This window comes from Homo sapiens, chromosome 2 (assembly GCF_000001405.40).
Source record: "Homo sapiens chromosome 2, GRCh38.p14 Primary Assembly".
Taxonomy (NCBI): Eukaryota; Metazoa; Chordata; class Mammalia; order Primates; family Hominidae; genus Homo; species Homo sapiens.
In genome coordinates, this window is record NC_000002.12 from 213140667 (window position 1) to 213155598 (window position 14932).

The 14932-nt window shown below is 37.5% G+C and overlaps 1 protein-coding gene across 30 annotated transcripts in view, besides 4 other annotated features; it reads right to left on the bottom strand.

Moving 5' to 3' along the window:
* The window catches only part of IKZF2 (IKAROS family zinc finger 2), a 152759-nt gene extending 140969 nt beyond the window's left edge, over positions 1-11790 (bottom strand). For 3 of the 30 annotated variants that reach the window (XM_047443727.1, XM_047443725.1, NM_001371274.1), the window contains exons 1-3: positions 11460-11790; positions 7930-7978; positions 7042-7146 (exon numbers count right to left, since the gene is read on the bottom strand). In XM_047443727.1, the coding sequence (XP_047299683.1) occupies positions 7042-7146; positions 7930-7963 (139 nt within the window). In that variant the 5' untranslated portion in view covers positions 7964-7978; positions 11460-11790. Of the gene's footprint in view, positions 7150-7929; positions 7979-9477; positions 9772-9900; positions 9971-10746; positions 10947-11459 lie in introns of those variants that run through there. The other 27 variants (XM_011510819.4, XM_047443724.1, NM_016260.3 and 24 more) reach the window with 21 other exon arrangements.
* Positions 6820-6869: an enhancer, noted in NCBI's record as "active region_17060". NCBI's record gives its function as "activates an Ori minimal core promoter by ATAC-STARR-seq in GM12878 lymphoblastoid cells {active_cell/tissue: GM12878}" and the evidence as "EXISTENCE:reporter gene assay evidence [ECO:0000049][PMID:35858748]".
* Positions 8571-8670: an enhancer, noted in NCBI's record as "active region_17061". NCBI's record gives its function as "activates an Ori minimal core promoter by ATAC-STARR-seq in GM12878 lymphoblastoid cells {active_cell/tissue: GM12878}" and the evidence as "EXISTENCE:reporter gene assay evidence [ECO:0000049][PMID:35858748]".
* Positions 11037-11096: a silencer, noted in NCBI's record as "silent region_12294". NCBI's record gives its function as "represses an Ori minimal core promoter by ATAC-STARR-seq in GM12878 lymphoblastoid cells {active_cell/tissue: GM12878}" and the evidence as "EXISTENCE:reporter gene assay evidence [ECO:0000049][PMID:35858748]".
* Positions 11177-11536: a silencer, noted in NCBI's record as "silent region_12295". NCBI's record gives its function as "represses an Ori minimal core promoter by ATAC-STARR-seq in GM12878 lymphoblastoid cells {active_cell/tissue: GM12878}" and the evidence as "EXISTENCE:reporter gene assay evidence [ECO:0000049][PMID:35858748]".
* Positions 11791-14932: the final 3142 nt, after the last annotated feature.

Sequence of the window (14932 nt, forward strand, 5' to 3'; positions counted from 1 at the left end):
TTAAAAATCAGTGGGTCAATCACATCAATTAATTCAACTTCTGAGACCAGTATAAAGGATTCCATTAAGCAAAGAGTTTATTAAAGCCTGTGCACATAAAACTCAATATAGAATTTTGATTTAATGGGGCAATTGAGGAAATAAGGCCACTGATCAAATACTGAGAATTACTTAGACATGAATGTTTTCAAAATATGGTATTAAACTACTGTTAAAGTAATATGGGCAGAAAAGTAACCAAACCATGGGCTAATATTAGTTTTCACTAATTAGGAAAATTCATACTTCAGTCTATATCCATGTGCCTAATTGCTATCCCTCTCCCAAATTGTACCCTGTGGGTGCTTCAAACCAGAATTGAACTAAGCTAAATCTTTTCCCGGAAACCTGCTCCAGTATTTGCTATCTTCACTGACAGAACCTACCACCACCATCTATCCCGTAATTTAAAGGTTGCCATCCTTGACTCTATTGTCTCCTTAATTCTACTACCCAAGTACTGTCTACTTTAAGATGCTAAATATTACCTAGATCCTTCTCCTTCCTTTTTATCCCACTACTGCTAGCTTGCATGACTTCTCACTCAATCATTGAAACAGCCTGTTAAATATGCACCTGCCTAGAGACTGGTCCCCATCCACAATCTTTTTCCCCACATTGTAATCAAATCGATCCATGTCAGTCAAAAGACTGAAGTCACCTACTTCGTTAAAACCATTGACTTCCATGAAAATAAAAGCCAAGTTTCCTCTCATACAAGATGTTCCATTATCCTGCCTTGATTAACTCTCCAAAGTCATTCCTGGCCTCGAATTCCTAGACTCCAACTTTATAGTCTAGAAATACCAATCTGCTTGTATTTCCCAGAATATTGCATGCTATTTCTCACCTCTTATTGTGGATATATTATTTATTGAAAAGGCCTTCCAGTTACTCCTAAATCCTATTCATTTAATAAGTCTCGGCTCAAGCAGTCTCCCCCTCTAAAAAATATTTCCAAATGAGCACCACCTCTCATCCCCCGTAATAATCAAGACACTAAGCTTACTACAGTAAAATGCCCTATTTAATGTCTGTCTGTCCCACTAGAGTATGAGTTCCTGGAGGAAAAGGACTCTATACTCTTTATTCACCTTTGGATTCACCTTACAATACCTGGCACATATGAGGTATCCCACAAATATTTATTGAATTGATCAACTAGAATTGAACAGCAAAATGTCAAATGCTTATAATTAATAATTGCATTTAAGCCTACTTCAAATTTAGAACATCTAAACTACTACCCCCGAAGTGCACAATCAACAATTAAACCAACAATTTTATTAGGTATCATCAAGTGAGAATTTATGGTACTACCAGAAGCATCAAATGAGGTTAGATTTTAGATGAGGACTCTCTAAGAATTGATTCTCTGTAGGAATAGGTTACTCTATTAAGGGAATTTTTTTCTTTTGTTATTTGTAATGACTGGTATATCTGGAACACCAATAATATGCAGTGATTTGCTTTACATATCATCAAAACCACAAAACTATACTCAGGAATGTTGAGCGCCACCCCCCTCCCCAATTCTGACATATAGACAAACTCTATTTCTTTCTTAACCAAAATCTTCATAGATGCTTTAAATAACGGAGGGTTCCTGCTTCAATTTTTACCCTAAATTATCAGAAATCCCTATCTTTCTTCCCTGGACCTGTGCAATATACAGAAAAGAGCAAAAGACCCAGATTTCAAATAGACTTGGATTTGAAAACAAACCCTTTTTCTTACAAGTCATAGGTCCATAAAAAAGTAACTTGACTGCTCTGAGTAATAGCAGCAGTGATTATTTATTGAGTCTTAGCATGTGCCAGAAGTTGTGCTGAGCATTTTGCATGTATTGCCTTATTGAAATCTCACAACAGCCCATTGAGGTAGGTATTGCTTATCCCTATTCTACGGATAAGGAAACTGGAGCTCAGAGATGTGAAGTGACATGGCCAAGGTCACACAGCAAAGCAGGAATTCTAACCCAGGCCAGCATAATTGCAAAGCCCATATTTTTAACCACTCACAGTCTACTGCTTCTGAGCCTCAGTTTTAAGTGTTATAAAATAGAGTAATTACATGCCTACCTCACAGAATTGATGTGGAGACAAAGTGAAATAATAAGTAAAGCATCTAGCATACTAAGTGCACTCAATAAAGGATGCCCCTCTACCTTCTCTCGCTCTAGTGGTGATTATAACATTTATAATAAAGGAAACCATCCCTAAATATTCCTTACCTATATCAAAACAGAGGTATATTGGGTCTCAATTAATTCGCAAAAGGAAAATACCAACAGGCCAACAAATACATTTAACATAAACAGATAAGAAGGGAAAAAAGTAAAGAAAAACAACATATTCTACCTCATTTTAGGACTGGAACTCTGCTATTGATATTTCCAAATATGATAAAAATATGTAAATATTCAAAATATATCAACATGTCAAAAGTTAGGAGAGAAGAGCACGGAACCCAGAGATGAAAATTCATTATGGCTTACAGGAAGACTCTCAATAGAACACAATCAATGGTGTTACCTTTTTTTAAAAAAGTACTTCTAGTGGGAAAGACAGATTTTGAACAAAGATAGAGATGATAAGGATAATCTTTCTGCCATACGTTGTTTTGTTTTTTGAAAACGGACTTTAATTCTCAGTACTAAGCAGACTAAAAAGATAGGGAGTTGGGAGCGGAATGAGGTGCAAAGAAAAAGTTACAGCACTTTTGCTGTTGATTACCAACAAATCTATACCTCTTTTACTTTCCTTTTTTTTCCCTTTTTTTCTCTTTTGGTACATAGTTATGACATTTATCTCTGATACCTGTAAAGAAATTAAATCAGAACTATTTTTATTTAATTCCCTAATAAACAAGAACTAAATGTAAAGTACATTGGGTATATACACAAACCTAAGTATGGCGACTTAAAACAGAAGATTTTCTATCAAGCCCATCTGGTGTTATATTAGGGTGTGTCCTACAGAAATCCAAGCAAGGGTGACTGCCAAACTAAGCTACAGAAGAAAACTCAGAAAGCTGGTAAGTCCCATAATATAGGCTCTATTTCAAAAAGTGCATTAGAACACCCGCCTGAAAAGATAATCTGATATCACTCCACCCTCATAATAACTCTTCTATTTCTGAGATATTTGTCACAAAAATATGGGCCAGTATTGGACACGGCAGACACCCTGAGAAGGTGACATTGTAGAGATAGCAGTTATCTAACTAACCCACAAGGTAATATCACAATTTTATGTCCCAATCCTGATAACTTCATCTTTCTGCTAAGTTCTCTAAGAGGTAAATTGATTTCTTCAAGCCTCAATTTCCACATATGAAAAATAGAAATCATAATATACTTCTGCTTCGCTAGGTTCTAAAAATGGAAACTAGCTAAGAAAAAAATTAATGTGAAGTACTCTGAAAAGAATAAACTAGATTCCCTGACCTGATTATTGGTCAGAGCCTTGTAAAACTAGACTTACTACTTCTTCCGATTCCATACATGCCACCTGGCCATCAGACTGATAAATAGCATTGACTGTACAGTTGATCCACTTAACAGCTTTAAAGTAATAGAAACAAATTTTGCATCATGATGTATTTTCATACCCATTTAAGTAACTACCTGCAAAGTAAATTTATACATAAACATTATAAAAAAATAGATAAGAAAAATAAAATTAATTTAAAAATTTTGAACTTTAAACAATTTTCAAAATAGTCACCTGCCAGTATAGAACAGTCTGAAACCAATACTGAACAACTATGCAAGAATTGGAAATGAGCTAACCAAGAAACAGAAGGAATCACAAAGTAAGTTTCATCTGATGGGCCGAAATACAATATGGATTATTTTTATATTGTTCTGTCTGAGATGTCTGTCTCAGATTCTTAAGTCCCAGATTCTATTTTTAAAAATCACTTAACACTGTGTATTTCCAATAGCCATCAAGGCATATACTGTCATCCCTGACACCGAAGATTGTCAGCAGACTCAATATGTACACTAATGATCTCAGGCAACAATGTCCATCTTCTTAACAAAGACATCCTCATTCCAGAAGAAAAAGTTTAAAGTTCTCTAAGAAAATTCATTCAAAACCATAGGAAGTAGTCATTATAAAATGTTAGGATCACTAATACCTCTTACTTCTTCTTAAGTTTATCTTAGATGCTAAATTTTAAAACCAAAAACTGTCAGGCATTATAACATTTTTAGTTCTCTCCCTCCCAAGTCACCAGTGCTCTATTCTAGCACTGTCAAATAATGATAGCTGCCGTCATTATTTTTATACAATAGCTGGCAGCAAGTTGCACAGAAACCCTTCATCTTAGAAGAGTTACCAAATAGCTTAAACAAATGCTGGGACCTTACAGTAGTACTGACCACCTTCCTAAAGCCAAAATAAGTGAGCTCTCATGCCTTATTGATACTTTTCTGGCCAGAATGTTAGCTGTTTTACTAAAAAAAAAAAAAAAATTTACTTATTTTATTTTTTTAACTGTTTAAAAATAACTTTTTTCCTCCTTACACATATATTCCCATCCTCTCCTTCCTGCTACTAGAAACTGTCTTAAAGGTTTTCACATTTACTTTTAGCTTTAACACTTTCAATCAAAATTGCAATTCTGTTTTTGGAAGCAGGCACCCTCCAGGAAGTATATTTGAAGATATTAAAAAATGCAGAAAATAAATAAGTTCTTTTCATTAAACAAAGTCAACAATGCATGTAAAGGGATTTAGGAAAACCGGTGATCTCAGACACAAGTGATTTGACAGGCCAGATGCACACAAAAAATTATTCCAAGTCACAGAAAAACATCAGAGTGACCAATTCTAGGTCTCTTGTTCTAATTAATAGACGAGAGTTCCTCTCTATCACTATTTGCTTTGGCAATCTAAAATGCTGATATTCTCCTAGATCTAACAGAGAGGAAAAATGGGTATCTTCTCCATCTAACACCTAAGTGGGTAACCTAGATACTGTAAATAGAGGCTACATAAAGGATGCAAGAGACAGCTCTGAAGTGAGAGCCAAAATATTTAACCTGCAACTCTTTGGAAAAGAACCTGAAAACACGTGCATCTTAGCCAAAACCTGTACTAACATGGAATTGCCACAGGCTAGTAAGTTAAAAAACTCTCTACCAAACATAAGTTTACTGTTGTTGGGTGAGAAAAGCTCAAATGTCAAAAGCACAGTTCTTATTTGTTCAAATTGATCATGCCTACACTCTGCACTGTTTATTTAAAAAGATGAGTGAACTGCCTTTCTGAAGCAAGTACTTGCAAAACCAGAATCAAATTCAGAAATAAAGCAGCCAATTAACCACTTGACAAGCATTTTCCTGTGGTTGTGTCTAGGGGATGACAGTCAAGTCTCTGATTAACAGTTACTCCCTACCCTATACATGCAATGTTTCTAAAGCCAATAGCTAACTAATAGAAACTACATATTATCTCTTTTTACTCTTTAGGAAATTGTGTGAGTTATCTGAGAAATAAAAACATTACACCAAATAACTAGTATATTGAAATGTAAAAATTCTATTGCCTAAATTGTAGTCATAGTATATTTTTTATCAAATCAACTAGCAAAAAACATGAATGCAAAAGATTCATTATGAGATTAGTATGATAATTTAGTATACATTCACCTGCTAACTTTACTAGTTTTTTCTTTCTAAATGATACGGGAATTGTAAGGACTGCTTCTATAATTAAATTTTCTTAGGAAGTGCTCATTACTTAAAAGAATTACAACTTTTAAATAAATAAAGCAAATTCAAACTCAATCATAATTTCAAGTCAATAGCTAAAATTACTTAAAGTTAATAAATTGCAAAATGTATTCAATGGTATTCTATATAAATTGCTTAAATTTCAGTAGTATTTACTAATTACTAAGCTTGCAGTTTTATAATAACTTACAGTTTCGAGAGCTGTTAGAAGTAAAAAGAAAAAGTTGCTCTCTCTGGATAGTCAGAATACATTTACAAATATGCTCATAATTAAGTACATGATTCACTTTTCTTAGTTATTAAATCTTCGGGGGGGGGGAAGGAAAGAGAATGCCTTTCCTTCACATATTGCCAAAACAGAAAACTTGTAAATTTAATTATATTTACATGTAAGTCCAATGTCCTTTCTATAACATGTAAGAATAAAATATAAATCTAAAGTATAAAGAAAACAAGATTTCAAATTACTTTTGAGTAAGAGTAATAAAGCACTTGCACTTGATAACTAAACTGATAAAATATTATAATTAAGAAAAAAGCAACCATATTCTTAATAAAGTATTTTGTCTTCTGTCACTGACAGCATGTAAGTTGCATCTTATTACATAAAAACAATGTATATTACATCAGTAAATGACCCTTTATCAAAAACAGTAGCCAAAACTGTCTTTTCCTACAAATTCAAAACATCTTTCCAAATTTTATCAGTTCTTCTCTGGACAAAAGCCTTTCAACTTTGCTACAGAAATGGATATAAATGAGTTCTATAAATTTTCAATTACACTTCACTTCCAATGCTTTGGAGAAGAAACTTTCACATTTTTTAAAAGCAAGTAACACTGTAATTTTATCACTGACGGTTTAGCTTTCTACCAAGGCAACATAAAATTATTTCATTTTTTAACTGTGAAGAGTCCTTTGGAAGTGACGTTTCCACATTTTTTACCCAACAACAACAAAAAATCCAGTCATAAACCTGGCAAGTCAAAACAACAACCAGCAAATTCTAACCTTTCTTACCTGATACAGGTAAGCACCAGCTCCCAAATGCCACCTTGGGATAGTTCAGACTAGTAAGCAGGCTCATGTTTTATAATACTAGAATGAACAGGAATAAATCTGTGTTGTTCTTTCTTTAGCAAAATCTATAACAGTAGCTATACCACAATGTGAGAGGACCCCACAGACCTAACAAATTAAAGTCTGTTGCTGGAGAGACACACACACACAAAAAAAAATCATAAAATGAAGACTTACTGCTTGTCATGTGACTTGGTGAGGCATGCTGTCCATTGGGTGTGCTTGAGGTGAGGTCAATTGCCATATTGGAGTGCTCCCTTTCGGGTGAAAGCTCATTGTCACCTGCTTTCACAAAATATAATCTTTTGGTTTCTATTCATTGTCACATAAGATGTAATTACTAACTTTGCTTTATACACGCAATGGCATGCATAGCCTTCAAACTGTAAGGTAATACATTTTTCCCTTAGAAACTATAAGGAAATATCATTTAGAAATATACAGTTGAATGAAATGATGAGAAGCCATAATCAACCCACAATAAAAAAAATTAACAAAACTTTATTATCTCAATACATAAGTTGTTGATTTCTAAAGTATCTTTCAGTTGAAAGAAATAACTTTTCTTTTAACATCTAATTTAATTGTTAAGCACACAGAATTTATAATGAGCATTTTCCAAAATGCTGGCTATCAGAGAGAGGATGGAAAAGACAGGTAGCTAAAGAAATGTCAAGTTAGGAAAGCTAATTCTCTTTCACATAATATGTCTGAAAAATTAGGTTACAGAGAAGTAAATATTTAGTACACACCATATTAATAGACATATATGAAACCTGGCCTATTCTCAACTTACAACAAAGTAAATTATAAAAAGTAGGAAAGTGTTGAACTGCTAGCTACTATTGATTTAAGTACACTACTTAACTTAGTATGTTTCTATATTTCCTTCTTATTTCACTTCAGTGCTGTCATTTTCTCAAACTCATTCAAAGGTGAAATTGTGAACAGAGAGAAAAAAGAGTACAGAATTCTCAATAAAGTTTCATAATCCAGGAATTAAAACACAGGTAATACAAAGGCAACTTTATTACCAATAACAAATCAATGAAAACTAATACTTACACGTTATATAGCCATCAATAGCCTCTGTTTCCATAGTCAAAGTGCAATGCTGCAAAACAAAAGATTATACCCTTAATACAATGATTCCTTTCAGTATCTGCCATTAAATTCTTAACTTATTTGAAGCTCCAAGCAGTTAGTCCATGTTGCTGCTGCCACCTGTGCCCAGAAACATACACAGTGTACTGTATGTGCTCATTTGCAAGTCACTGAACTCTTTCTGCAAATGATCTGATTCCTGCTGGAGATAGGATAGGAAAGATAAGTGTGCTGTGAGATGGGCTAGAGCAAAAAGGGAATGACTCTCTTAATCAAAATTTATTGGGTTTAAGAAAAAATAGGGGGTATAGCTCAAATGTGTCAGCTTTAACTGGGATTTAAGTGTTTTACCATTCACTACTTCCCACAATCACACTGCAGTTTGAGGACTTCCCCAGTATACAGATAGCTCTATTCACAATTGTTGCAAGTTGGTTCATCATGTTCTAATAGGGAGGGGGAGGACAAACAAACATAAGAAAACAAAACAAAACAAAAAACTTAGTGCCCAACGGTGTCTTGAAGATTTCTACAGCAGTTGGCCAACTCCCTGACTTGTATTGACATTTTAACCTACCCCAAGTTCTGTGTAAGCACCTGTTCAATGTAACCTTAATTTCCTGCCAGACCATGCTTGGACACAAATGCCAAGCCTACTTAATACAGTCTGATTTTGAAAATTTCATAAACTTTGGTTGTGCTAGAGAGAATCATTTAAAAAAAAAAAAAACTTTGGGCAATTATTCTCATGCACAAACGCCACACAACAGAACATAATTCTCAGAAACAAAAGTAAACTGTATGAGATGACACCCCCTAGCTTTGATTCACATAATGAAAAGATCGATAATCTAACTGTATTCTGTGGGGAAAAAAGTTTAAGAATTGACAAGTCCTGAGAAGATTTTTACTTTTTTTTCCCCCTTTGGCCTTGGTCCTTTTTGCCTTTAGTTTCAAAACTCTCACTGCACCAGCAGCTAAATTATTCACAATGAGCCATTTCTGTATTGATCGCCAAGTATATTTAGCCCTGGCTCCTGGAATTTCTCCATTACTTACTGGAAAACAGGCAGCTTCACTTCTTGTCTCCAAAACCACTTCCCTTCTCCCTCCCCTCCCCTTCTTCACCACCACACTCCCTTACCCCCCCCCCAAAAAAAAACTTTTATTTCTTTCTTTATGGAATAATCAGATCAAATTCCCAACTCAGTCACTACATAGCACTTAAATTTCAACCTGCTGTACTGTTATCACATTCTTTTAAATTATGATTACATAAGGCTTTAAAGAAAGAGATCCGTAAAGTTTAAAAGAGGAGCAGTTTCTTCGGATATTTTACAAATGAGCTTATCTCTTTAAAAATGTACACATTTAACACACACATATTAAAAAGAAAGAAACGTCAGGGAGAAGCGAAAGAAGGCTGCCCCATCAATGAAATGGTTATTAACCCTCAGAGAAGGAAAGAAGGAAAAAGAAAAAGGAGAAAGAGAAACGAAATGTACATACAAAAGAAATTGTCCTTTGATTAAAAAAGATTCATCACCATTTCCAGCTCTGTCGGGAGATCTCAGCTTCTTCTAACCCCTCAAAGAGGAGGTGACAATGTCGGGCTGAAGATAAACGGAGGGAGAAAGAAAGAAGTTTTTTGTGTTTCCCCCTTCTCTCTTTCCCTCCCTTGCCCCCTCCAAGCCAAGCCCCCTGCAGAGTTCAAGGGGAGGAGGAAGGAAAAGCACTTTACAGGTGGGTCATTCCAAGCCCAAATCCAGCAAACAGATCGGCTGATAAACAAAACCAAGAAATGAGAGAGAAGAACACCCCCCTCCTCCTCCTCCTCCTCCTCGTCCTCCTCCTCCTCCTCCTTCCACCCCTCCCCCTCGTCCCTTAGGGATGGTCTAGTAGGAAAAGTCACTCAGGAATGGCACCACGTACTTTCAGGAAAGAGGAAAAAAAAGAGAGAGAGAGAGGTCAGTCAGTGCTATAGCAATGCGATTAACAAGAGAAAAAACTTGATCCACCGGTTCCTTAAGAATCGACCAAAAGCTAAGACAAGAAAACTGAAAGAAAAGGGGGGGGGGGCGGGTAGAGGGGAGGGACAGTCAGGCAGAACCCAGCTAGGAACCCAGGCCAACTTCACAGGACTGTTTTTGGCCCTTGGCAAAAAAGAAAAAAAATAAATAAATCTTAATTCCATCTCTTTCGCCCATACTAGAACCTGTCAAAGTGATTTAACTGCTGCCTGTTTACATGTGTCATACCAGGGTTTTTGGTTTTTTTTTTTTTTTAATTCCAACAGGATCTGGATATTACCTTCTATCTGGACAGCTTCAATTTATTCCAGCCTACCCAATCTTTCTTCTTGGAATTCAAGTTAAAACAAAGCAAAACAAGTCCAAATTCATGACAGCTATAGAGATGAGAACTGATTAATCGATTAACATCCCAGAAACAGATTACAAGGAGGGGACGATAAATTAAGGCAGAGGACATCATCTTCAACCCGATTCCCTGAGCGTCCTTTACAAAAATCATTACCCTAATCAGAACCACAATCCATCCCTCCCAGAGAAAAATACCTATATTATTATTATTATTACTGGTTAACAGCAACAAGTCATTTGATCACATCACAGTGCAAAACGAGATGCTATATAATTACACTTAACTTTGAAAACACTCCCCCCTTTGCAAATCATACACATATTTATATATAATCTATGAATCAGAAGACAAAACAAGAGCTGTTCTTCACCACGCAAAAGCCAAGCGGAGATTTACCTCAGCAGTGCATGCAGTAAAATAATCCCATCACCCTTTTGTTTGTGTTTACTGTTAATGTGTCCTCTGTCTTTCTTTCTTTCCTGTGCCTAACGTGTGTTTGTGCACTGCAGTTGGTGGTGGAAACTAAGGCAGTGGATCTGTAGCTAAGGGTAATCCTGTTTTTACTTCCTCCATCTTCAGCGAGGAGCAGGGTTAGCCCGGGACAGCTGGTCAAACCCCGAGAAACCGATCCGGTGGAGCCCGAGCACATCTCCCCCGCCGGCCGGGCTCGCGCAGACGCCCGCGGGCGGAGGGCGGGCTGGCGGCGGCTGCGGCGGCGGCGGCGGCGGGCGGCTGGCGGCGGGCAGCGGAGCCCCGGGCGCGGGCGAGCGGACGTGCGTGCGCGCGCGTGCGTGTGTGCGGGGCCCGAGCGCCTGTGCGTGTGTGTATGAGAGCGCGTGTGCGCGCGCGCGCGGGCTGGCGGGCGCGTGTGCGCGTGTCTGCGCGCTAAGCCGCTCGGCGCGCTCGGCAATCGATTACAGGACAAGTGCTGCCCCGGAGGCTCCGCGACGCGCGCACTCCCTCGCGCCCACCCGCGCGCCCGGCCGCGTCGCCCCCAGCCCGTTGGTCCCCGGACTGCGGACCCCGCCCCCGACGGGGGCCAGGTAACCCGCTTCCGAGTGTGCCACGGCGACCCCCATCTCCCCTCCCCGTGTCATAATAAATCTCACGTTTTCTGCCGGCTGGAGGCTTGGAGCGGTGAGGTGACGTTCATTTCGGCCGCGTGAAGTTTTCTTTCAAACTGGGATTGGTGGGGAGGCCGGGGGAAGGGAGCGGGGCGGCGATCTTGGCGCCCTGCGCGGAGTCCGGGAGCCGCGTCCCGGCCGAGTCGGGGAGTGTGCGTGGAGCCTCCCACCTACTGGTCTCCGCCGGCAACTCTGCGGCCCCATTTCGGAAAGCGCACCGCATTGACCGGGACCTGAAGCGGGATAAGAGGGGTCCTGGGGAATAGACTGAGAAAGACATTCATGTCTGAGATGAAGCTCAACTATTACTATTTTGAAAGTGCTTTAACAGTGCAAGTTTAAAAACTAAAGTGTTGACTTGCTTTTTCTCCCCCGGGGCATGTGCCACGTCTTCCAAAGTCAAAGGAACGGATGAGTACAAAAAGTTGCTACCCTTGAAGTGTTACCTATCACTATCAACCACAGCTTGTTTATTTGGAAAGAACTTAAGTGAACCGTCAAGAGAAAAACAAATGCATATTCTTTCTACAAATAGTAGCATTTAGTATCTTTCCTGACCACATTTGCGAAAAGAGGGAATAGAGACTTCTATAATTAAAGGGAAAAGGAAAATGAAAGGAGCTGAAAATAGTGAACTGTGTAGTCTGGATGGCTGAAATTTGAAAACACATGAAATTATCAGGACTGCCAAACGGTGTTCCTGAGAAACCATATCACAGATTGTGAAGAAAATCAATGCTAGAAGAGTCGGAACAGGCACCGTACTCTTACTCCTTTGAAGAATCCCAGAAATAGTTGTTGAGGTTTTTTTTTTCTGCTGAGAAAAAAAGATATATTGGAAATTAAGTCATCAACAGTACCTTAAGCACCACTCTGTAGGTAATTTTGGATAGTGTCTTTTCTTTACATTTTGATATAGGGAAGGAATTAATTCACATCGACACAAACGAAGTAATGGATACCATATAACTTGTGTGATACTGTAGCTTTTATAATGAATTACTTCTTGAAAGTTTTTTTTCCTATACAATGTATTATTAAACAATTGTAACGATAGTCTCTTTTTGTTTAACTATAGAAAATGGTAGATAGTGTGGTACAGCAAACAAGATTAACAAATTTTCGTTGGAGAGAAATTATTTGGGCTCAGGCTTGCAATAACATTATGATGATTTTAAGAAAAATTGCAGTTCCTGTGAGTTATATATTGATAAGGCAGATTTTTAAACACTTAGTTGCTAAAATTAGTTTTCCTAAAGTCGTATTTGGGAAAGTCTGAGTAGAGAACCAGTAAGTCACTCTAATCATCCCAACAGAGAGCAAATATTTTAGTCTTAAATTACCTCAAAAAATCTGTATGTCGTTTATAATATGTAAATGCACAATATGTAAAGGATAACATAAGTTCTCGAAATTGTCATAAGTCCTTCCTAAAAACTGAACCTAAGTGTTTAGGTATCTGTACTGTTACAGAGATCCTTGAAAATATGAAATAAAGATAATCGAAATTAAGATGAAATGTCTGATAGTTTACACAATGTAATTATTTGGTAGAAGAGGATCCATTGTGAAATCTTAAAGATACATCCTCACAGTTACCAAGTTGATGTAGTCCTTGCCCCTGGTTTATTGAAGCTTAATTTAGCTTCCTTGAAGCTGGTCCTTTTCAAGAGTTAACTTTCACTGGCTGCCTAGTCACCAGAGGCACACTTTCTCCCTCTAGTGGCTAAGGCTTCAGACACTACATTCTGTCACCCTGCCTCCCCCTGAATGGATCCCAGATTTTAGAATAACAAAGATCTCATGACCACCTGGGAGAATTGGACCATCTTGGCAAATGTTTCCCTCTTTTTAACATCCTACATTCCTTTCTTATTTGCAGGTTATGGTGTATCTAACTCATCCAGAGAAATCAAGATTATGTTTTCATACCAAGATTGGGGGTTTTATTTCATGCCTGTGGAGTCTATAGTCCTAAGATTCACAATGCAATCCACTCATGGGAAAGAACCCTTGCATAAACTGTAATTCACTTTGTTCAGAATTTCTCTGGGTAGTTTTGTTTGTTTGTTCGTTTTGGTTTTGTTTTTGTTGAGACAGAGTCTCACTCTGTCACCCAGGCTGGAGTGCAGTGGCGCCGTCTCGGCTCACTACAATCTCTGCTTCCTGGGTTCATGCGATTCTCCTGCCTCAGCCTTCTGAGTAGCTGGGATCACAGGCGCCCACCACCACACCTGGCTAATTTTTGTATTTTTTAGTAGAGACAGGGTTTCACCATGCTGGCCAGGGTGGCCTCGAACTCCTGACCTCAGGTGATCTCCCAAAGTGCTGGGTCTCCCAAAGTGCTGGGATTACAGGCGTGAGCAATTGCGCCTGGCCTCTCTGGGTAGTATTTTGATAGTTAGAGGGTGCATTTATTTCTGTCCTTTGCCAGAAGACATAGACTGTACACATTTTTTTAAGGTACTTATATAACTATACTGTACATTAAAATATACCACTAGGGAAGTGGAGTACCATGTTCTTTGGCCACTGTATCCAGTTTGGAGAGTTAAGTTTTTACTTTAGGGAAGAAGTGGCAGGGTGGGGAGGAAACAGACCCCTCAGCCCTTACCATTTTTCACGTAGCTGGTTCTTTCTCATCCTTTCTGTCCCATCCTACCCAAACATTTTCCTGCACCAACTTCTATTGTAGCACCTTGAATATTTCCTTCATAACATTGTTTTCTCAGAAGTAGAATAGTATTTGGTACAAGTTGGTACTCAATAAACATTTATTAAATGAATGAATATGGAGGAAATGATGTACTCAGCTGGCTTTCATGTATTAAACTCTATTTTCAAAGGACGAAAAGGGTCCCATTTCCAAGATACATGCTGATTTCATAAAGAATTTGGTCAGATCTTGGCTCATAAGTCATATTACAAATATCTTTAACAGGTCAGCTCTGGCTTACAAGCCACACAAAGGATCTGAACCTCTTGGTAGATAACAGTTATATTTACAAAATGTATATAAAATAAAATGTTACATAAATTAAAAATAAAATTATATATAAATATATATTTTTAACATTTATATATTAATTTTGCAAATATAAATATGAAAAGTGGCTAACATTGTATATAAAATGCAATTTGGAATAAAATACATTTATGTAATGCCTCTGTTTCAAAAATGAATTATTTCCTGTTACCACCTGACAATTCATGAACCAGGGTGACTATCAAGAAATGCAGCAGGTTTAATTTTGTAATCACTAAGTGTAATCAGCAAAAGAAAAATTTTACAAGGCAATATAGCTAAAAGGTACATTGTGGAGTATTGGTTTTGTTTTCTTTGGGTAGTTTGTTTTATCTATTTTAGATTTAAAAGCCCTAAGTACCCTTTAAAGGAATTTGGGTAAAATCCCCTTTTGTTTGCTCAAGGAATTAATTGTACGTTTTTAAGTTTTGGG